The 22,334-nt window shown below is 41.4% G+C and overlaps 1 protein-coding gene, 3 long non-coding RNA genes and 1 pseudogene across 13 annotated transcripts in view, besides 7 other annotated features; 2 read left to right on the top strand and 3 right to left on the bottom strand.

The window, feature by feature from the left end:
• ST7 (suppression of tumorigenicity 7) overlaps positions 1-9,172 on the bottom strand; it is a 276,676-nt gene extending 267,504 nt beyond the window's left edge. For all 10 annotated transcript variants that reach the window (NR_161420.1, NR_161421.1, NR_161422.1 and 7 more), the window contains exon 1: positions 8,982-9,172. Coding sequence is in view for 5 of the 10 variants with exons in the window: in NM_001369598.1 (NP_001356527.1) it covers positions 8,982-9,132 (151 nt within the window). In the remaining 5 variants the exon portion in view is untranslated. The remainder of the gene's footprint in view (positions 1-8,981) is intronic.
• On the bottom strand, positions 2,856-8,825 carry ST7-OT4 (ST7 overlapping transcript 4). Its single transcript, NR_002329.2, has 5 exons — positions 8,564-8,825; positions 7,994-8,212; positions 7,520-7,699; positions 5,950-6,250; positions 2,856-3,520 (listed from the first exon to the last, which is right to left on the bottom strand). It is a non-coding gene; the product is annotated as an ST7 overlapping transcript 4 (long non-coding RNA).
• Positions 6,560-6,819: a silencer, noted in NCBI's record as "silent region_18567". NCBI's record gives its function as "represses an Ori minimal core promoter by ATAC-STARR-seq in GM12878 lymphoblastoid cells {active_cell/tissue: GM12878}" and the evidence as "EXISTENCE:reporter gene assay evidence [ECO:0000049][PMID:35858748]".
• Positions 8,178-9,101: an enhancer, noted in NCBI's record as "H3K27ac hESC enhancer chr7:116593626-116594549 (GRCh37/hg19 assembly coordinates)". NCBI's record gives its function as "activates a minimal SCP1, AML or CMV promoter by ChIP-STARR-seq in naive H9 embryonic stem cells {active_cell/tissue: H9 hESC(naive)}" and the evidence as "EXISTENCE:reporter gene assay evidence [ECO:0000049][PMID:30033119]".
• ST7-AS1 (ST7 antisense RNA 1) lies at positions 8,339-10,227 on the top strand. Its single transcript, NR_002330.1, has one exon. It is a non-coding gene; the product is annotated as an ST7 antisense RNA 1 (long non-coding RNA).
• Positions 8,417-8,716: a silencer, noted in NCBI's record as "silent region_18566". NCBI's record gives its function as "represses an Ori minimal core promoter by ATAC-STARR-seq in GM12878 lymphoblastoid cells {active_cell/tissue: GM12878}" and the evidence as "EXISTENCE:reporter gene assay evidence [ECO:0000049][PMID:35858748]".
• Positions 8,777-8,976: a silencer, noted in NCBI's record as "silent region_18565". NCBI's record gives its function as "represses an Ori minimal core promoter by ATAC-STARR-seq in GM12878 lymphoblastoid cells {active_cell/tissue: GM12878}" and the evidence as "EXISTENCE:reporter gene assay evidence [ECO:0000049][PMID:35858748]".
• Positions 9,187-9,256: a silencer, noted in NCBI's record as "silent region_18564". NCBI's record gives its function as "represses an Ori minimal core promoter by ATAC-STARR-seq in GM12878 lymphoblastoid cells {active_cell/tissue: GM12878}" and the evidence as "EXISTENCE:reporter gene assay evidence [ECO:0000049][PMID:35858748]".
• Positions 9,517-9,626: an enhancer, noted in NCBI's record as "active region_26539". NCBI's record gives its function as "activates an Ori minimal core promoter by ATAC-STARR-seq in GM12878 lymphoblastoid cells {active_cell/tissue: GM12878}" and the evidence as "EXISTENCE:reporter gene assay evidence [ECO:0000049][PMID:35858748]".
• Positions 12,290-12,615: a transcriptional cis regulatory region, noted in NCBI's record as "candidate enhancer chr7.4218 targeted for multiplex CRISPR interference". NCBI's record gives its function as "positively regulates ST7 gene expression in K562 cells {active_cell/tissue: K562}" and the evidence as "EXISTENCE:mutant phenotype evidence [ECO:0000015][PMID:30612741]".
• Positions 14,756-22,334, bottom strand: LOC105375465 (uncharacterized). The gene is made up of 3 exons (XR_927895.3): positions 22,248-22,334; positions 17,152-17,210; positions 14,756-15,031 (listed from the first exon to the last, which is right to left on the bottom strand). It is a non-coding gene; the product is annotated as an uncharacterized LOC105375465 (long non-coding RNA).
• On the top strand, positions 18,259-18,387 carry RNA5SP239 (RNA, 5S ribosomal pseudogene 239; annotated as a pseudogene).

Raw genomic sequence — 22,334 nt, 5'->3', positions numbered from 1 at the left:
CTACAAGGAACTTAAACAAATTTACAAGAAAAAATCAAACAGCCCCATTAAAAAGTAGGCAAAGGATATGAACAGACACTTCTCAAAAGAAGACATTTATGTGGCCAACAAACATAGAAAAAAGCTCACCATCACTGATCATTACAGAAATGCAAATCAAAACCACAATGAGATACCATCTCACACCAGTCAGAATGGTGATTATTAAAACGTCAGGAAACCATAGATGCTGGTGAGGCTGTGAAGAAACAGGAACGCCTTTACACTGTTGGTGGGATGTAAATTAGTTCAACCTTTGTGGAAGACAGTGTGGCGATTCCTCAAGGATCTAGAACTAGAAATAATACCATTTAACCAAGCAATCCCATTACTAGGTATATACCCAAAGAATATAAGTCATCCTACTATAAAGACACATGTACACATATGTTTATTGCAGCACCATGTACAATAGCAAAGACATGGAACCAACCCAAATGCCCATCAATGATAGACTGGATAAAGAAAATGTGGTACACGTACACCATGGAATACTATACAGTCATAAAAAAGGAATGAGATCATCTCCTTTGCAGGGACATGGATGAAGCTGTAAGCCACCATCCTCAGCAAACTAACACAGGAACAGAAAACCAAACACTGCATGTTCTCACTCATAAGTCAGAGTTGAACAATGAGAACACATGGACACAGGGAGAGGAACACCACACACCAGGGCCAGTCAGGGGGTGGGGGGGTGAGGGGAGGGAGAACATTAGAAGAAATAGCTAATGCATGCAGGGGTTAAAACCTAGATGACGGGTTGATAGGTGCAGCAAACCACCATGGCACACGTATACCTACATAACAAACCTACACATTCTGCACTTGTATCCCAGAACTTAAAGTAAAATTAAAAAAAAAAAAGAAAGAAAACCCCATAGTCTCAGCCCAAAAGCTCCTTAAGCTAATAAACAACTTTAGCAAAGTCTCAGGATATAAAATCAATGTGCAAAAATCACTAACATTCCTATACACCAACAACAGTCAGGCCAAGAGCCAAACCAGGAATGCAGACCTATTCACAATTGCCCCCCACCACACACACACACACACACACACACACACACACACACACGTAGGAATACAGCTAACCATGGAGGTGAAGGATCACTACACGAAGAACTATAAAACACTGCTCAAAGAGATCAGAGATGACACAAGCAAATGGAAAAACATCCCATGCTCACGGATAGGAAGAATCAATATCATTAAAATGCCCATACTGCCCAAAGCAATTTACAATTTCAATGATATTCCTATTAAACTACCACTGACATTCATCACAGAATTAGAAAAAACTGTTTCAAAATTCATATGGAACCAAAAAATAGCCCAAATAGCCAAAGCAATCCTAAGCAAAAGAACAAAGCTGGAGGCATCATGCTACTCGCTACTCATCTTCAAACTACACTACAGGGCTACAGTAACCAAAACAGCATGATACTGGTACAAAAACAGACACATAGACCAATGGAACAGAACAGAGAACCCAGAAATAATGCTGCACACCTACAACTATCTGATCTTCGACAAATCTGACAAAACAAGCAATGGGAGAAGGATTGCCTATTCAATAAATGGTGCTGGGATATCTGGCTAGCCATATGCAAAAGATTGAAAGTGGACCCCTTCTTTACACCATATACAACTGAAGATGGATTAGAGACTTAAATGTAAAACCAAAAACTATAAAAACCCTGCAACACAACCTACATAATACCATTCAGGACACAGGAATGGGCAAAGATTTCATGATGAAGACACCAAAAGCAACTACAATAAAAGCAAAAATTGACAAATAAAATCTAAACTAAAGAGCCTCTGCACAGCAACAGAAACTATCAACAGAGTCAACAGAAAACCTACAGAATGGAGACAATTTTTGGAAACTTTGCATCTGACAAAGATCTAATATCCAGCATCAATAAGGAACTTAAACAAATGTACAAGTTAAGTACCTCATATTATCTGTATGAATGGAGTTCAGGGTTCTACCAATGTGGAAAAAAATTGTCTGTGAGCAATGACACAGTAGTACAAGAAAGATTTGGTTGGGAAATTTTTCAGAATAATATTGGCAGGCAAAATGAAACTTAACAGAATTGTAACTCGAAGTGATTAGAAATACTTCAGCACAATTTTATGTGTCTGCAGTGGCTCACGCCTAGAATTCCAGCACTCTGGGAGGCCGAGGGGGACAGATCACTAGAGGCCTGAAGTTTGAGACCAGTCTGGACAAGATGGCGAACTCTGTCTCTACTAAAAATACAAAACTTAGCCGGACATGATGGCATGCACCTGTAATCCCAGCTACTTGGGAGGGTGAGGCATGAGAATCACCTGAACCCAGGAGGCAGAGGTTGCAGTCAGCTGAGATCCCGTCCCTGCACTCCAGCCTGGGCAACAGAGCGAGACTCTGTCTTAAAAACAAAAAAACAAAACAAAAAAAAAAGAATCCCAGCGTATTTGGAGGGTGGTGATCTAGAAAAAGAGAGGTGGAAGTTCAGATTTGAGGGGTAAGAAAGAGCCATAGCATCAAACTTTGTAAATGAAGGTAATACACTTAGATTGTATTTTCAATGCAATGGAAGCCACTGCAGGAAGTCATACAAAATCTGGACTTGTATTCACTAAGTATTAAGAGTCCAAACTGTAAAAAACATGTATACTCATTAAGTCCATGTATTATCTTGGTGCTACACTTTGCACTCAATGAAATTCATCGTAAGACACAGAATCCCAGAGCTAGAAGGAAACTTAATGAATGTAAAGCCATTATTTTACATATACAAAAACTCAAGCTCAGAGAAAAATGCATCATTCGGATTGCTTTATTAATGGCTGAGAAAAATATCTCCAAAAATAATTAAGGGCAACTAAGATGTCTGGGATACATTCTAAACTCAAAGCTGACATTAATCAAAAAATTGTCCTTTTATATATTCATAAACTGAACCACCATGCTTTAGATGCATATGGCCCATCATAGAATATATAAGATCTTGTAACAGCCTCTGACCACAATCTAAAGCTGCAAACTTAGATGGGGCACATACTCAGTAATGCATTTGATCAATTGTATTGTTCCAATCCCAGCTCACTAAATACACCGTAACTTGGATATTCATTCATCCAGTGAATGATAAGGACCTACTTTGTACAAGGAATTAACACTGGAAGATGAAGAACTAGAATCTAGAAGAAGTAATAAAACATACATATACAAAAAAAGATGCATATATACACAAACACTGACCCACATATATCACACACATATACCATAATTCATATAAGATAAAGTAACTGCAGGCATGCCATAAACAGCAAAATAACTAGAATTAGAACTGAAGCTTTAAGATGTGACTGAATTGTTGTAATTCCTTGTAAAACTTGAACGGATAAAGAGCTGTTTCTTTTGATGAGCAAAGAAAGTGTTTTGAGATAGAATCTACTCCTGGTGAAGATGCTGTGAACATTGCTGAAATGACAACAAAGGATTTAGAATATTACATAAACTTCATTGATAAAGCCGTGGCAGGGTGATAAAATTGACTCCAATTCTGAAAGTCCTACTGTGGGTAAAATGCTATCAGACAGCATCACATGATACAGAGAAATCTTTCTCTGGAAAGGAAAACCAATCCATGTGGCAAACTTTACGGTTGTCTTATTTGAAGAAATTGCCACAGCTACCCCAACCTTTAACAACCAGCACCCTGATCAGTCAGCAGCCATAAACATCAAGGCAAGACTCTCTACCAGCAAAAAGATTATGACTTCCTGAGGCTCAGATAGCATTTTTTTTTTTAGCAATAAAGGATTTTTAAATTAAGGTATATACATTGGTCTTTTAGATATAATGCTACTGCACTCTTAATATAATACAATATAGTGTGACTATAACTTTTATATGCACTGGGAAACCAAAAATTTCATGGGACTCACTTTATTGCAGTGGCCGGGAACCAAACTTGCAATATCTCCAAGGTAAGCCTGTCTTTTCTGCAGCTGAAAGGATCAGAAGGCAGCATGCCAGCTGGTCCTTGATAGATGGGTGGGATTTACAGATAGGGAAGAACATTTTAGACAACAGGCACAACAGGGGCAAAAGACCTATGTAAACTGCAACCAGACCCTCTAGAAGGGAAATCCAATTTTATGTAAATTTTAAGTAAATTAAAATCTAAATGTTAAGTAAATTTAGAGCAAAAATTCTCAACATGAAAAAATGCCAAAACTGAGCTGCAGCCTAAGTTCTATATCACGTCAACAATATAAGAGTTTTACATCTGTATTCATGAGCTTAATTAACACAAAAAAAAGTCTTCTAAATAACTTGACCAGGCACGGTGGCTCACACCTGGAATCCCAGCACTTTGGGAGGTGGAGGCAGTAGGACTGCTTGAGCCCAGGAGTTCAAGAACACAGGGGACCCTGTCTCTACAAAAAAAAAAAAAAAAAAAAAAAATTAGCCACGCACTGTGGTGTGCACCTGTAGTCTCAGCTACTAAGACTGAGGTGGCAGGCTGAGACAGGAGGATTGCTTGAGCCTGCAGGTTGAGGCTGCAGTGAGCTGTGACTGCACCACTGCACTCCAGCCTGGGTGACAGAGTGAAACCTTGTCTCAAACATAAGTAAATAAATAACTTTAAGCCTAGATCAGGCTATTACATTTGTTTTCCAAAAGGAATGAAAACGGATTTCAAAGATCTTTGAAAACTTGCTTTTCAGCAAATAGAAAAAGAATTGGAAAATCACTTATGCTGCTTTTTGCAAAAACAGCAAAGTTGCCCGTTTTAGGAAAAGGTGTTTAAATTCAGCAGCAAAAAACTTTATAACATAGGGTAGATGAGAAAGTGCCATCAACACCACTGTATAAGTTATGGTACTATTTTTTAAGACTCACCTATTTTAATAATATCCTGCATGACTGTGCCAATCTACAATTAATTTTCTGCCCTTTGGAAAAGTATTGCTTTATGATATTAATTCACTTGAAAACTGACAAGTAATATTATTTGGGGTCTTTTAAAAACCTTGTTAAAATTTCATTCTATTTTCAGTAAATCATAAAACTATTTTAACACTATTGTATCCAAATCAAGAGCAGAGCCTCAAAAATCAGTTACCAGCAGCTGGGCATGGTGGCACACACCTGTAGTACTCGCTACTAGGGAGGCTGAGGTGGGAGGATCCCTTAAGCCCAGGAGTTCAAGCCCAACCTAGGTAACATACTAAGACTCTCTTAAAAAACAAACAAAAAAAAAAACTATTATCAAAGCTAGCCACTATGTACTATTCCTATTATGTTCGTTTTCTCCCCTTTCTTTTTTAAAATTCATTTTCATTACAAGATGTGATTGCCAATGTTAAGGTTTCTCTGTATGGTCTAAGAGAATACTGTGGAATTCTTTGAACTATATCCCTACCCTAAATGGCACTGGCTCAATGCAACGAAGGTCACACGAGCCAAGCTGGTGGGAGTAGGGAAGTAGTATACCTCAAAAACAGCATTCAAAGCATTTTTACTTGGAAAACTACACGATGTAAGAGCTAAAAACGGTATGGTTGTTCATCAAAGTCCTTTTCTTTTATTATTTTAAATTAAATTCCACGATTAGCTCTTCTCTGAATCTGACCTGCACTTTCACAACTTTGTCCCTTTGTTTGGGAGGTCCACCTCTGAGTCCTCAATCATGGAATTCTCCTCATCCTCTTAGGCTCAATTCAAGAGAAGCTCTCACAGCCTTGCCCAGCCCCATCTTGCATATGGGAAGTTGTATTCTTGTAGTAAACTCCTTATTTACCCTGGGTTTTACAAACTCATTCATCTTTCTTATCATAGCACCTGTTATAGTACATTAGGAGGCATCTAAATTAAAAAAAAATCGAGTTAAGCTCATTTACCATAAAATATGATCAAATGAGGATTAAAATTGTCACAGATGGTCAAGATATTGAGAAGATACCAAGCAGATATCCAAGAATGACTCCAGAACACTTTTAGCAGATTCCATCCCCCTACAGGTACAGAGCTGGGCCTATGGAAGCCCTGGCTCCTGGCTGCCTGATTGTGATGGTGTCTTTGGCTTCCTTGAGGAGGAAGGGAGGCCTGCGCCATCTGCAACTCCCTAAAAGCAGCTCCAGATTCAGTAACCTCTCCAGGAACACACTTGCCTTCATCACAGGAAGAGTAAGCACCACAGGGCTGAAGAACAGCAAAGTTAGTCCCGTTAGAACTCTTTTAGACCTCCCTGCAAGGACAAGTTAGACCAGGCTAGCTCCTGCCTCCCCTCTCAGGGGTGCTGGCTAATGACTTCTTTCTCCCTGGGCCTTCCTTGCCAATAACTTCAGTACAGAAACTTTTTCCCAAAGGGGAGGGGAATTGGCAAGGAAAGGAGGGAATTAAGTTGACAACAACCTTTTGGCAGTTTTCCTACTATAACTTCTCACTGTTACTTAAAAGGGAAGAAAATAGGCCTCTAATGTCTGCAACTGTTTTTTGAAAAACCTAAACTGTTCTAGGGTGGTTTGTGGCTATAATTTCATGTCTCAAAATTAATGCCAAAGTCCTCCTCCCACCCCAGATCCTGCTACCCTCTCATAAAAACAGCAGAGAGGTGAGTGCTCTCTGTGTGCTTCCCCTTTTATCTTTCTTTATGACTGAAATGAGCATGAAACCAAACTGAAAAGTCCAGCATCATCAGGTCTTCTATCATGTGTCTAGCAAGGTACAGCCCGGATGGCACGTTCATCTTCATATTTTCGCTATCTCTTAGAACTGCCCCTACACAAATTAACAAAGGCATCTCTGAGAAATGCTAGATTTAAATTGCTAGAAGACCTAACAATGCCCTTCCTTAAGAAGTACACATTTTCCCAGTAGATATTTTGCTTCTTGCCTGATCTGCACAGAGCACTGGATGTGACACTTACACATATATACATGGGTAATTATTTAACCTGATGAAAATGTGATATACAAATGTATATCATGAAATAAAATTTTAAGTGTGTAATAAGGAGAAACATTAATATTTTAAAAACTAGTGTGTTTGAAAATCCCAAGTGCAAAAGTGTTGAAAGGTGGGACCTGTGAGTGGTAATTAGGTCATGAAGGCTCTGCCTTCAAGAATGAATTAATTTTGTTATTGAGGGAGTAGGTTTGTTATAAAAGTGAAAGTGGGCCCCCTCTTGTTTTCTCATGTTCTCTTACCCTTCCACCTTCCACCAAGGGATGACAGCAAGAAGGACCTCCCCACATGCCAGTCCCTTGATCTCAAGACTTCCCTGACTCCTGAACTACAAGAAATAAAATGTGTTCTTTAAAAATTACCCAATCTGTGGTATTCTGTTACAGCAGCACAAAACAGACTAACACTGTTACCAACAAATACGTAATTCCATTAAAACATATATTCAAACAACTTCTTAAAGGTATAGAACTTTGAGACCAGAAGGTATCCTGGAGACATACTTGTCTAAAGCGAAGAAGACAATATTGCGACAAGCAGCCATCCAAAAAGATGAAAAGCGAGAAAGCCATGGTCTTTCCGATGACAGACTCAAAAGGGCTGAGCAGCACCTATTCAAATGGTGAGACAATTCTAGAGTGCTGAATCCTATCCGCCTCCCAGGGACACGATCCCGAGGGATACTACAAAACAAATGTAAATATGAACATGAGTTCAAGTTAGTAATCAAAATACTTAAGTTAGTATCTGAAAGGTACAAGTTTCCTAACAAAATGAGTACATTATCTCAAGCGTTTTAAAAAGCGTTTTAATGCAGCTAAACACCTGAGGAAAATGCATTTCCAGACTTGCACTCCCAGAGTATGGAGATTAACAAGGGAAGATATATATGTGTACATATGTATATATCTTCAGGACTGTAAGAATTTCCCAGTACTGTGAAATTAAAATTTAAAACAAAAACAAAAACACTCTACCTTGAAATTTCCAGATTTAAAGGACTGTAACCCTTAGCTCGAAATTTACTTTGTGTTTCGGAACTCTCTGGAGTGTTAAGGCTCGTGTGTTTTCTTTGCGGGTGTTTTTTTAACGACTCAGTGGGCTGGCTCCAAGTTTGTGAAGATCCTGTTAATTACCTCCTGCATTTACCACCGACCAAGGATGGGAGGCACGCGGCACTTGCTGAGCATATGTAGCTTTACAGGGAAGGGAGACGAGCAAAGATCACTGAAAACTGCAACCGAAACCCTCAGAAATTCCAGCTCTCCCCTCTTCCCTCCGGTCCCTTCGACAATCCATTTGGTGACCTGACACGTCATCCATACACTCCCAAGAGTGCCTTCGGGAACCCCTCTCCCCACTACCCAACCAGAGAGACAGCCCCACGCCCGGCAAGACGCAACTCCGGGCCACGGAGGGCGCCGCCCGGACAGCCCGGCCGGGTCAGGGGGCTTCGCCGCCGAGCACCCTCCGGCAGCCGCCCTCGGGCCTCCGCGGCCGGGCGGGAGGGCGCCTCCCCGACCACACTTCGGCCGCTTGGCACCCACAGCCGGGAGGGCGTGAGGAAGGACTCGGTCTAACTCCGGGGAACCCTCGGAGTTCCGGCGCAGACACCCGAGGGGGTGTCCTGGGAACTCCTTCGCCCGCGACACCCGTTCTTCTCCGTCTCCCGACCACCAGCGACGCAGCAGGGCGGCTGCCGGCCCGGCCCGGCCCGCCTTGCGGGCTGTGCGCGGCGCAGCTCTTCCTCCGCGGGGCCGTGAAGGCCACCGGCCGCCCCCGCGCGCCCAGCTGCCCGGCCCCGCCGCCTAAGCCGCCGCGTTGCTGGCGGGTAGCCGCGGGCCTCCGGTGCGCGGGCCCCGGCGCGTCCCCGAGCGCGCGCCTGGCCGCGGCCCCGCGCGAGTTGCACTAACTTTCCGGGGCGGGGGAGGGGTGGGCGCCGCGGGCCCGGCTCCCAGGCCTTACCTGTGCTCAAGTTGTCGTTGATTTTCAAAGGCACCCGCAGGATGTAGACCAGGAATAGCACGATGAAGAACCACACGGTCCACAGATACGTCCAAGACCAAACTATGCAGGACTTGAGCTGCTCCAGAAAGCCCGTGGCCGCTTCAGCCATGTTTCAGCGCTCCTCTCTGCTGCCGCGGCTCTTGGTGTCTGCCGGGATGATTCACCGGCCCGGAGGCGCAGCTCGCGCCGCCGCCGCCGCCGCGGCCCGGGCGCCCCCGGAGCCCGCCCGCCGCCGGGGACGCGGGCTCGGCGGGAAATCGCGCGGGCCGCGGGCGCGCCGGCTTTTCCTTCTCCAGCCTTATTGCTAACTCTCTAAAGGTCCCTACAAGTGGCTTTCGTGGAGCGATCACGTGGCCCCTGCCCCCTCGCGTTCTGGGTCCATTTATATTTATTATGCTAATATTTAGAAAGAGAAGGCCAAGTGGCGCGCCGAAGGAAACGCCTCAGGCAGTTACAACCCGCATAAGTTGAGCGTTTACCACACGCCAGGCGCTGCTCCACGATCCGTACAATCTCATTTAACCCCTGCAACAATTCCCCACTACGATCCTCTTTCTATAGGTAGGGAAACTGAGGCTCACAGCAGCTGCGTAGTTTACCTTAAGGTGGAACCAAAATTCAATTGCAGTGGTGTATTCTGGGGTCCGAGGTCTTAAACCCTACTCTGCTCCCTTATCAGGATTCAGGCTCAGGGAATGAATAAACCCGGGACAGCTAGGAGAAGGGAGGAGGTGCGCTCCTGTCGCCGGCTAGTAGGCCTGAAGATAAATCACTCTATTCAGCAAGATTTGGGTGGCAGATGCTATTTACCTTTGTTCTGTCTCTTTGAAGCAGCGCAGGGATTTTCCAGAGAAATCTTGACAGATGAATGTTTATCCTCCAGGTTTTTTGGTGATCAGAGGTCAAACTATTCTCAGCCTGTTTTTAATATAAACAATTCTCTGGGATAATTTTGACTGTGAAACGGCCACCTCTAACAGAAAGTCCATTTTAAACATTGTTTTGTTGTTTTTGTTTTGTTTTGACTGTGCTGAATAAAATGTTTCTTTTATTCTAAAATGTTTTCTCAGCTGAAATTTTCAAGTCTGTTTCTGTCCGTAAGTGATTTGACTTTCTATGTATTAGATGGTAATGAGGAAATTGCAGGTTTTCCAGTCTACATCTATTTTTAAAATTCTGAGCATAAAGAATATTTTATTATAAATTGTTTTGCTTACTTGTATAATAGTTTCCTTCATAATTAAATAAGCTCCTTTAACTTTTCACATATAGGGCCTATTACGGCATACATAATGGATGGAACTACTCTTAAATTTTTACTAATTCCAGCCTCTCTCGGCTACTGTTTCTTCCTCACATTTGATCTACTACAGTGAGATCCAGGCCAGAATAAGTGAAATTGGCACACATAGACTTTCTTTATAGTTATTTATGGCAGCACATGACCAAATGATTTTTGTGTCTAACACTGATACATGGAATCTCAGTAAAATAAAACAATATTGTCACCAGTAAAGGATCGTGACTGCAGGTTGTCCAGGTTCTTGGCGTTTTGAACAAAGAATTGGACAAAACACCCAGAGAAGCGACAAAAGAACGAAAGCAGGGATTTATTGAAAACGAAAGTACACTCTACATTGTGGGAGCGGGCGGAGCAGCGGCTCAAAGGCCGAATACAGAATCTTCTTGGGTCCAAATACCCCCAAGAAGTTTCCCTTTGGCAACTCATGCTCATCTCACGTAAATGAAGTGGTAGCCCGCAATCAGTCTGACTGGTTGCAGAAAGCAGCCAACCAGAGGCTGAAATGAAGATACAAAGGTAACACTCCTGTGCAAACATCTGATTGGTTGCAAAAAACAACCAATCAGAGGCTGGGATGTACTTAATGAAGTTATGCTTCTATGCAAACGAAGACTCGCCCACAGTCTGATTAGTTGTGGACAACAACCATTCAGAGGCTGGAGTGAAGTTACAAAGTTGCAAATGAAGATTGGACCCGCAGTCAGTCTGATTGGTTACAGACAGCCAATTTCCCATCTACTAGGCAGAAAAGGTCAAAGGTAGCCTCTGGTCCTTTTGTTACTTAGGCGTGGAAAGTTAGGGTTTTCCTTTCAATGTAGTTCAAGGAAGTCCTTAGTTTCCCTGCCTCCAGAACCTAGTCTCCTGCCTCAACATGAGTACATGAACCACCTATTTTATGTGATGATTAAATAACCCACCAGATTCTCTGCGAGTCACTGAATTAGGATATTGACTACTTAATTTAAATGAACATCCGGAGGCCTGGCTTTTTGCTGTCAATGAACTTCAATGAATGGACATGAATATGACTCCGCTAAGTCACAATCTTCTAATTTTCTACTAGGCGCTCCTGGGAAGTCAGCCCTATATCATTGCCTCTCCTGGTGTGCATCCTGGCATGTGGTGGGGACTGTACACATGCCTTTGTGCTTCAAAACACTTCAAAACAGAAGTGAGTAAGCATAATCTCTTGCAAACTGTGGCTGCTTCAGTATAGCTGGAGTGCAGCCTCTGCAGAGTGGTGTGGATACAGACAAAGCTAAAGATACAGGCCTGAGTCATTTTGAAGGGCCTACTAGAAACGCTAAGGTGTTCATAGTTATGGGGCATTGCACACACCAATCCAAATGACCAACTCAGAGATTTATTTAAGTGGAGATTTAAGAAATATTAAGGAAGTAGATGGCTCACGCCTGTAATCCCAAAACTTTGGGAGGCCGAGGTGGGAGAATCACTTGAGTCTAGGAGTTTGAGAACAGCACAGGCAACACAAGGAGACCTTGTCTGTACAAAAAGATTTTAAAAATTAGCTGGGTGTGGTGGTGTGTGCCTGTACTACCAGCTACTCAGGAGGCTGAGGTTGGAGGATCACTGGAGCCTGAGAGTTTGAGGCTTTAGTGAGCTGTTATTGTGCCAGTCACTCCAGGGTGAGACCTTGTCGAAAGAAAGAGAGAAAGAGAGAGGAAGGAAGGGAGGGAGGGAGGAGGGAGGAGGGAGGAAGGAAGGAAGGAAGGAAGGAAGGAAGGAAGGAAGGAAGGAAAAGGGGAAGGGAAGGGGAGCGAGAGAAAGGAAAGATAGAGAAAGAAAAGAAAGGAAGAAAGAAGAAAGAAGGAAGGAGAGAGAGAAAGAAGAAAAAGAAAGGAAAGAAGGAGGAAGAGAAAAAGGGGAAGGGGAGAGAAAGGAAGGGGAAAGAAAGAAAGAAAGGGAGAGAAAGAAAGAAGAAAGAGAAAAGGAAGGAAGAAAGAAAGAAAGAGGGAGAGGGGGAAGGGAAGGAGGGAGGGAGGCGGGGAGAAGGGGAAGAAGGGAAGAAAGAGGCAGAGAGAGAAAAATAAAGGGAAGGAAGGAGTGAAGGAAGGAGAGAAGGAAGGGAGGAAGGAAGGGAGGGGAGGCAGAAGTGACAGGCCTTGGTGACTGATAAGACAGGCAGGGCAGGCCTGGCGCAGTGACTCACGCCTGTAATCCCAGCACTCCTTGGGAGGCTGAGGCAGGCAGATCACTTGAGGTCAGGAGTTTGAGACCAGCCTGGCCAATATGGTGAAACCCTGTCTCTACTAAAAATACAAAAATCAGCCGGGCATGGTGGCACGCACCTGTAGTCCCAGCTACTCGGGAGGCTGGGGTAGGAGAACTGCTTGAACCTAGGAGGTGGAGGTTGCAGTGAGCCGATATTGCACCATTGCACTCCAGCCTGGGTGTAGCAGTGAGATTCTGCCTCACACACACACACAAAAAAAAACAGGCAGAGCACGGATAAGGGGGGGGCTCTTGAGTGGGACCGTTAATGAAATAATGACACCCCAGATATGCCTAACTACCTCTTGATAATCACCCAGTGGAATGGCACACAATCACCAAGCTCATCACATGCAGAATGGAATGCATTACCTCTTCACCCTCATCTGTTCCTTTTAGAGTTCCATCAAGGAATGGGCACCATCCTTCCAGTTCCCTAATTCAGAAATCTGAGCATCATGTACCTCCTTTCCTCTCTATATTCCACTGTACATCAAGACTCAGGCCGCCACTTCTCTCAGCCTTTGGTGATAGCCTGATCATCATTCATAGAGAACAAGGCAGTGGGCTCCCTGCCTCTATTTGCACCACGGCAAGCACCACCACTGCCTCCTTCCATCCACTTTCCACACTTCTCTACCAGTTACCTTTTAAAGCACAAATCCGATAACTCGTTCCTTGCATAAAATTATTTAAGGCCCCACCCCTACTGCACTCCTACTTTTATCCCAGTGTCTAACTAAAGGATGGAATCTAGATGGTATTCAGGCCTTCTGCAAGGGCACTTCTGCCTACCTTAATAGCACCAGCATTTTGGCAAACATGCTATTCTCTTTCACACTTTTGGACCTGCTCCACACAACCTGCCTGTAATACACTTCTCTGTGCTCCACTTCCCTGACCAACATTCTTTCCTGCGTCAACTGCCTGATAACGGGTTATTTAGAGAACCACTTGAAATACCACCTCCTTGGTAACACCAGCTCCCTCCACCCCCTGAGCTCACGGTCTCTTCCCTGTGAGATGCAGCACCAGGAAGGTCATTAACAACCAGGTTTAGAGTAAACAGTGCTGGGCTGTATTTCTGATCCTGCCTTTCCCTAACTGGGTGCTCTTTGGCAAGTTATTAAGTTACTTCATCTGTACAATGGGTTACACTTATGCCTTTTACATATGGTTGTTGTGAAGATTGAGTGATATGCATACCAAAAATGCTGAGCAGAACACCTTGTCCATATCTTTCCTCTCTGTTATTAAATGGAGGCCTTTAAGGTTAAGTAATTTGTTATTGTTGTGGTTAATTTTAGTCCTCTGAATTTTAATCTAGTACAAATTGTGCTGCATTTGGCACATGGTACATGTTCATGAATATTGAGTGTTGTATAAAGGAATGAAAAATCAATTACATGAAAAGAAATTCCAAATCTTACATTTTACAAACACAGACACAAAGAATACTAAGATTTAACTCAGGGGCAAAAGTTAAGATTTGGCCACCAGCACGTGGTGAGCTTCCTTGAAAGTTTGTTTCTGGCCGGGCACGGTGGCTCACACCTGTAATCCCAGCACTTTGGGAGGCCGGGGCAGGCGGATCATGAAGTCAAGAGATTGAGACTATCCTGGCTAACACGGTGAAACCCCATCTCTACTAGAAATACAAAAAGTTAGCCTGGTGTGGTGGCACGCGCCTGTAGTCCCAGCTACTCAGGAGGCTGAAGCAGGAGAATTGCTTGAACCTGAGAGGCGGAGGTTGCAGCGAGCCGAGATCGCACCACTGCACTCCAGCCTGGGTGACAGAGCAAGACTGTGTCTCAAAAAAAAAAAAAAAGTTTGTTTCTAAAGGTGTAAGCACCTTTGGAATGGATAATAGTAGTGAAATGACCATTAACTTATAATAACTATGTCAAAAGCAATATGCTCCTAAATTCCTCTTATATCGGTTTATATATTTGGTTAAAGTATATATCTTAGTCTGATAAAATATCTGAGCTGAATAAGAAACCAGTATATCAGCGAAGAACTTTAAAAGTTCTTTAAAAGTATTTCTGTTTTGTTTCTTGTTTGTGATATTTGGAAGGGATATATGCTTATATTGGCTGTCATAGTCTTTAGTTTTATACTTTGTTATAAATTTAAGAATCTACTTTTGTAAACAATTTTCAGAGTTCATCTGAAATTTAAACACAAGAAATAACTGTTCTGACTTGTTGGTTTTTATTTAAAAAATCTCATCCATGTTCACTGGTTGGGTTTTTGAATTGGTCAATATTCTATACTCATGAATAACATCCTACATAACTGATTATCCTTATTTAGTGACTTACCTAGACCCGAATAAGTGCAAATCCAACATGTTTAGTTTAGAGATATAGTAAGAGCAGAAAAACAGGTTTGGAAGGGAATTTGCCATTTCTAACTTCTTCAAGTCAACACACTCTGTCATAAAATATTGAAGAGATGGACTTTCAAAGACCTGTATATAGTTGAAAAGATGATTTGGTTAGCAAAAAGCTTGGGGAGAAGTTCTCTAAGATATAATTCTGCATGTATAAGGCAGAATGCATTTCCGTAATTAACATACACTGCATGTACATCTTAATCTGACAGTGAGAGATTCACAATGACTAAGTTGAGACATTATGATACATTATTATCACATTTACCTTTGTTTCCCCATTCCTAACAAAGATATCTTAGTTTCCATATAAAGGCTTTCACAGACATGTCAACACTCAGTGACGTTCCTTAGCATCACTGATTTGTTTAAAATATCAAAATTATTGTAATAAGACCAGCTGTGTTGATATACGGAATAATTCTAAAAGCAAGAATACAAAATAAAATAATCAGGTGGGGCGTGGTGGCTCACTCCTGTAATCCCAGCACTTTGGGAGGCTGAGGCGGATGGATCACCTGAGGTCAGGAATAGGAGACCAGCCTGGCCAACATGGTGAAACCCTGTCTCTACTAAAAACACAAAAATTAGACAGGCGTGATGGCACATGCCTGTAAGCCCAGAAACTCCGGAGGCTGAGGCAGGAGAATCACTTGAATCTGGGAGGCGGAGGTTGCAGTGAGCCAAGATCATGCCACTGCACTCCAGCCTGGGCAACAGAGTGAGACTCTGTCTCCAAAATAATAATAATAATAATAATATAAAAAATAAAACAATCGGAGCCTTGTATAAAAAATCTGAAAGCAACCTAATGCTTTCTCCACCCTAAAACCCTGCCCCAGCCAATGAAAGATGTTTTCTTATTTTCAAAGAAAAAGAAAAAAGAAAATTTCTTTGGAAAGAAGTAGAGAAGTGAACATAGCCTCTCCCTTACACTGCTAAAATATCAGGAGACAAGACCAGAGGAAGATGGATGAGATTAAAAAAAAAATCTTAGAGACAACAGATAGATCAGATGTGTTCAACAAAAAGACCAGAAATTTATTTTAAGGAACCCTCTAAAGTTCGGCCAGCTCTCTTGCTTCTTAGGCTAACTAATCATGAAAGGTAACAATATTACCCACTTTCTTTAATTACTCTATTTATTCTTTACTCTGGTACTCACCCTCTTTACTCTTGGGAAAATACTCTAAGATGGGGCAGTTTGTCAGTTGCACTTTAAATAGTGTGGAAATGTAATGGTATACATTTTTTAATTTCTTGACACTCAAACCCAAGAGGTTTTATTTTTATTTTTTATTTGTATAGCACTTTTAATCAAAATAAAAATCCTTTGTCTAAAATATTCTGCATATGTAAAATATTGGCCGGGCGTGGTGGCTCACGCCTGTAATCCCAACACTTTGAGAGGCCGAGGTGGGCGGATCACGAGGTCAGGAGATCGAGACCAACCTGGCTAACATGGTGAAACCCCGTCTCTACTAAAAATACAAAAAATTAGCCAGGCGTGGTGGTGGACGCCTGTAATCCCAGCTACTCGGGAGGCTGAGGCAGGAGAATGGCGTGAACCCGGGAGGCAGAGCTTGCAGTGAGCCGAGATTGCGCTACTGCACTCACTTCAGCCTGGGGGACAAAGTGAAACTCTGTCCAAAAAAAAAAAAAAAACTATGCTAATTTTATTACTTTATTTTAAAACTGCATTTTTTGGTCCATAACTGGCTAAGATTTCAGGAACCAGAGCCACATCTAGATATCACTTCGAAAAATTACATGATATCAAAAATACCTGGCACTAGTGATAACCATCACTTTAAATGATTCGAAGCCAAATACAAAAATCATATGCTATCTATTTACTTCCCATGTGCATAGCATGCTGTTGTCTGGTTTTGGCTTTTAATGTCAAGTTCATGCATATGAACCTCCAAAATACCTGACAGATTTAGACAAGTCAATTAAACAACCTTTTGCATTAAAAAAGTCAGAAAGCAGGTTAAACTTATGTTATAGAATTATCAGTAGAAATTTTTAAAATCTGCTGGCCATGATGTAAGCTTAAATTTGTTTCTATTGACACAGAGCATTTACTCCTAGATTTCCGAAAATTGATTCTATTCTCTTAATCAGGATGTATTCCCTTACACTTGATCAGTTACATTTCATTTTTTCTCATTTCTAATATCCAAGACTATACTTACGCATGCAAATTAAAGTGAAAATTTCACAGTCATCTGGTATATTTGGCCTCTGCGGAAACCTAATCCAAAAAAAGGAAAGAAAGAAGAGCCAGATTATTTTTATCTTAAAGTACATTTCAGGCTAATATTAAGTAAAGTGATTGCCCACAGCAACCTAAATTAATTGTATTTTTAATATTAATTGTAGCCTCTCTTCTTTACTTTGCATTGCAAAAATCACTCCAGGTTTCTGTTTTATTCTACATTGCAATGTCATTGCACACCTGCTAAATTAACACCTTAAGTACATTTAACCATAACTGGTTTTATATCCTTGTTAGTAATGATAGTTAGTGAATATGGATTATAATTGTAATGGTAACTGTGGCTTTCCTTGAGTTTTTCCTTCCTCCCCCTCAATATTATCTTTTTATTTTTTTTATTTTTTTTATTTTTTATTGAGACAGAATCTCACTCCTGTTGCTGAGGCTGGAGTACAGTGCCGCGATCATGGCTCATTGCAGCCTTGACTTCCCAGGTGCCAGTGATTCTCTCACCTCAACCTCCCATGTAGCTGGGACCACAGGCACATGCCATCATGCCTGGCTAATTTTTTGTATTTTTAGTAGAGAGAGGGTTTCGCTATGTTGCCCAGGCTTGTCTTGAACTCCTGGGCTCAAGGGATCCACCCACCTCAGCCTCCCAAAGTGCTGGGATTACAGGTGAAAGCCACCATGTCCGGCCTTCAAAATTATCTTTGTAATACTATTTTTACAGTAATTTTGTCTCTGAATAAATTTGTCATTTACTCTTTGAGCTGAAGATGTCCACATAATCAAGCCAATTTGAATTAACTTGTCAAGTATGAGTGATTGGACAAACTACAGCAACTTAGACTATAGCAAACAGCTTGCTACAGTCTGGATTTAGTTATCCACACCTCTATTTCTTGTATGCATTGCATATTACACTTTTATTCCCAAAGAGGCACTATTTTGGGCTACCATGTTTAGACACATTTATCAAATAGTCTTTCTAGATTTGTTCATTTGTCCATGCTCTTTTTCAGATCCCCTCCTGGGCCTAGCACAGGTACTGTGTGCTGGGCTAAACTGAAATGAATATGAAGTCTATGGCCATACCACCCTGAACACACCCGACCTTATCTGATCTTGGAAGCTCGACAGGGTCAGGCCTGATTAATACTTGGATGGGAAATGAATGTACTTGAGTTGGAGGGAAGAAGGGGTATGGTTGTTGTTTGATTTTTTTTTTTTTTGGACCTCTCAGCAAGTTGATTTTCTAGACTTACCAAATAAAAGTCCTATGTGATTTTCATTAAAAAAAGGACCAATGCGTAAATGAGAGGGGAAAATAGTTCATTCTGAGGCAGAAGCATCCAGTAGAACCACTATCTAGTTTCCCATCACTGAGAATATTCTAACAGAGGTTTGGCTGACCACCCAACCTCATCTGTAAATTGGGAACAATAATAGCATATGTGATCATGTCAAAAGGTATTCTTGCGGAAGGTAGGAGGCATGACCAACTCATCCTGGTTTGCTGGGACTTTCCCAGTTTTAATACTGTAAGTCCCATGTTTTCAGAATCCCTTCAGTCACAGTGGGGCTAGATGACTTCTGAGTTTTCTTCCAACTCTTAAGACTCTCAGTTGCAGGGTCTGCCTCCAGCAAAACTGGGAGGTAGGAGGAAGTTTATTTTCTGTACCTTTTACTGGACTTTCTCACTTCTTTAGCTGCCGCAGGCCTTTACTTCCTTCCCTTATCTACTCTCAAAATCTGCTTTTACAACTATCAGTTTGTTTGTGCATAAATAATTTGTTATTCTTCCAAGTGCTATTAACAGATACCAGATAACAAAGCCATAAAATAAAATAATCTTCACAAGTTTTTCCAGGCATCACCATATCTTGGGAGTCAGAGCGACCTTACCAAACCTTTACCTGATAAATTTAATTCCATCAAAAAAGGTAAGAATAAATATATGAGTATATTATACATCTGCAATAAAAAAATCACAAATAAGAGCATGTATCTGTATAAAAAAAAGCAGGCAAGCTATAAAAAAAACTATATCTTGATGTTTCTTTTATTACTAATTCTCTACTTATTCATCTGTTTTATTGTTACCAACACACTAGAAAACAAATAATAACAATAAGCAAAGGTTTAATAAAAATGTATGGGAAATAACTTCACTTTGAGAAAACTATTTTATTTTCTGCAAATGAGATCGCCATTTTAGCCTAGTTCACAAAACAGCTGAGTGCCAAGGATTTATAGATGAAGAAAACTGAGGAAACAAATGCAACTCCAAATTCAGATATTAACCAACTGTGGTAAGATTTTATTCATGATTTAGTAGATGCAACATGGAATTTAGTAAATAAATATGTAGGTTTAGAAAAAAATGGTCTCCAAACTTTGGCCAGCAATTTAAAAAAAATTTAAACTTACTTCCAAAAGATGCATATCTATTTATTTGTAAGTTAATATATTCTACAATACCAACATAGTAAGTACATGGTGTAAAATAAATATATAGGCATTTCAAACATGAGTTAAACGTAAACATAAGTTTTAGCATTTCCTCCCTAAAACCTAGGAGATTGTCTACATACTCTGGTTTGCCTGAACCCGACTTTAAGGATCAGTGATTTGGAGAAATTATAGATTAACTGTTATTTCATTTATTGCCAAGTTCCCTTAAATTACATAACAGCATTGCTGCCTATGGTAGCTAAATCCCAAGTTTGGAAGGAGACCTCATTTTGCTGGCTCATCTATGCACTCTGAGGATGTCATGTAACCCTCACAGCTTCCTTGCAATGGCTTCAGTTCATCAGTATGTGACTGCTAGTGTCTGAACTTCCACAGTGGCTGTAGGCGTTTAGGAGCCTCCTTAGCTCCTAGCTAGGGAGTAGTAAGATTGTGACTCCACAAAAGAACACATATGTTGTCTCAGCTCACACTCAGCAAGAACTTTCTAAAAATGTAATACTGTTATAATGGTAATGTACTTTGGCTTTGGAATTTCAACTTCATTCTTTTTTAGATTTCAGTTCTATAAAGGGTAAGAAATTCTCCATCTTTTTATCTGCTATCCCTTTTTATTTATTTATTTTTATTTATTTATTTTTTGAGACAGAGTCTCACTCTGTTGCCAGGCTGGAGTGCAGTGGCACAGTCTCGGCTTATTGCAATCTCTGCCTCCCAGGTTCAAGTAATTCTCCTGCCTCAGCGTCCGGAGTAGCTGAGATTACAGGCGAGCGCCACCACACCCAGCTAATTTTTGTATTTTTAGTAGAGATGGGGTTTCACGATGTTGGCCAGGATGGTCTCAATCCCCTGACCTCATGATCCACCTGCGTGGGCCTCCCAAAGTGCTGGGATTACAGGCGTGAGCCACCGCACCTTGCCTGTTTATTTATTTTTGAACGTATTAATCATAGTTACTTTAAACCACGTTGTCTGTTAACTTCAACATCTGGATCACCTGTGGATCTATTGCTATTGTTTATTTGGTTTTTTTCCCCCTCTCTTGGCTTATTTTGATTTTTTTTTTTTTTGAGATGGAGTTTCGCTCTTGTTGCCCAGGCTGGAGTGCAATGGCATGATCTCGGCTCACCGCAACCTCCGCCTCCCAGATTCAAACCATTCTCCTGCCTCAGCCTCCCGAGTAGCTGGGATTACAGGCATTCGCCACCAATGCCTAGCAAATTTTTTGTATTTCTGAGAACTTATTTTTTGAGACAGTCTCGCTCTGTCACCCAGGCTGGAGTGCAGTGGCACCATCTTGGCTCACTGCAAACTCTGCCTCCCAGATTCTTCTGCTTCAGCCTCCTGAGTAGCTGGGATTACAGGCACCCACCACCATGCCCAGTTAATTTTTGTATTTTTAGTAAAGATGGGGTTTTGCCATGTTGGTCAGGCTGCTCTCGAACTCCTGACCTCAGGTAATCCACCTGCCTCAGCCTCCCAAAGTGCTGGGATTACAGATGTGAGCCACTGCGCCCAGCCTGATATTTCTAAGAATTTTTGAATGAATGCTGAACATTGTTTATTTAAAAAATGGTAGAGTGTGCAGATGATGATATCTTCTACCAGAGAGGGTTTACCTTTTCCTCTGCTAGGCAGAACAAGAGTATTAAAAATGAGTTTTCATTTATAATATTAGTGGAAGTCAAGATGTGAGATTGGCTAAAATACTTTAAAGTTACCCTGTCCAGTGTACCAAAAAGAAAAAAAAGGAGGTGGGAAGGATGATAGTACAAAAAGCATGATTCCTAAACATTCTTGAGACTAGTTGATAATTGGAAGTTTTCCAATTTCCTCCTGCCAACTGTATGGATAACTGAGTCCTGATTCATTCACACAGCTTCTTTCATGCAAGGGTGGCAAAGCACCTAATATTTCTGAAAGTAGGGACTTCATCCAGCTTGCAGAACAAGTTATATAAACACTTTTAGGATCTTTCTAATAAGTGCCTGAGCACATGTCAGAATTTGGTCTGAGGCTTCCTTTCATTTTAACATGTTACTTGGTAGCAAGGATGTTCAAGCTGCAGAGGAAGGAGAGGGGAAAAAGCCTATAGCTCTCTCAGCTCCACGTAACTGTAGTTGACCTTTGAACAATGCGGGGTTAGGAGCGCCAACCTCCACACAGTCAAAAATCCATGTATGACTTTTTTTTTTTTTAATAGACACAGAATCTCTCTGTCACCCAGGCTGGAGTGCAATGGCATGATCCGAGCTCACTGTATCCTTGAACTTCTGAGCTCACGCAATCCTCCCACCTCAGCGTCCTGAGTAGCTGGGACCACCGTCACGTACCACCATGCCCAGCTAATTAAAAAAAAATTTTTTTTTTTGGTAGAGACAGGATATCACCATCTTGCACAGGTTGGTATGTATAACCTTTGTACCTACTGCCCAAAAACATAACTACTAACAGCCTACTCTTGACTGAAAGCTTTGCCAATAACATACACAGTTGATTAACATACATTTTGTATATGTATTATATACTATAGTCTCATAAGTTAGAGAAAAGAAAAATGTTATTAAGAAAATAATAAGGAAGAGAAAATATATTTACCATTCATTAAGTGAAAGTGGATCATCATAAGTCTTCATCCTCTTGTCTTCACACTGAGCAGGCTGAGGAGGAGGAAAAGAGGGGTTG

This window comes from Homo sapiens, chromosome 7 (genome assembly GCF_000001405.40).
Source record: "Homo sapiens chromosome 7, GRCh38.p14 Primary Assembly".
NCBI classification, from domain to species: Eukaryota; Metazoa; Chordata; class Mammalia; order Primates; family Hominidae; genus Homo; species Homo sapiens.
Note: the sequence above shows the minus strand (reverse complement) of the source record. Positions and strands in the feature narration are given on the sequence as shown.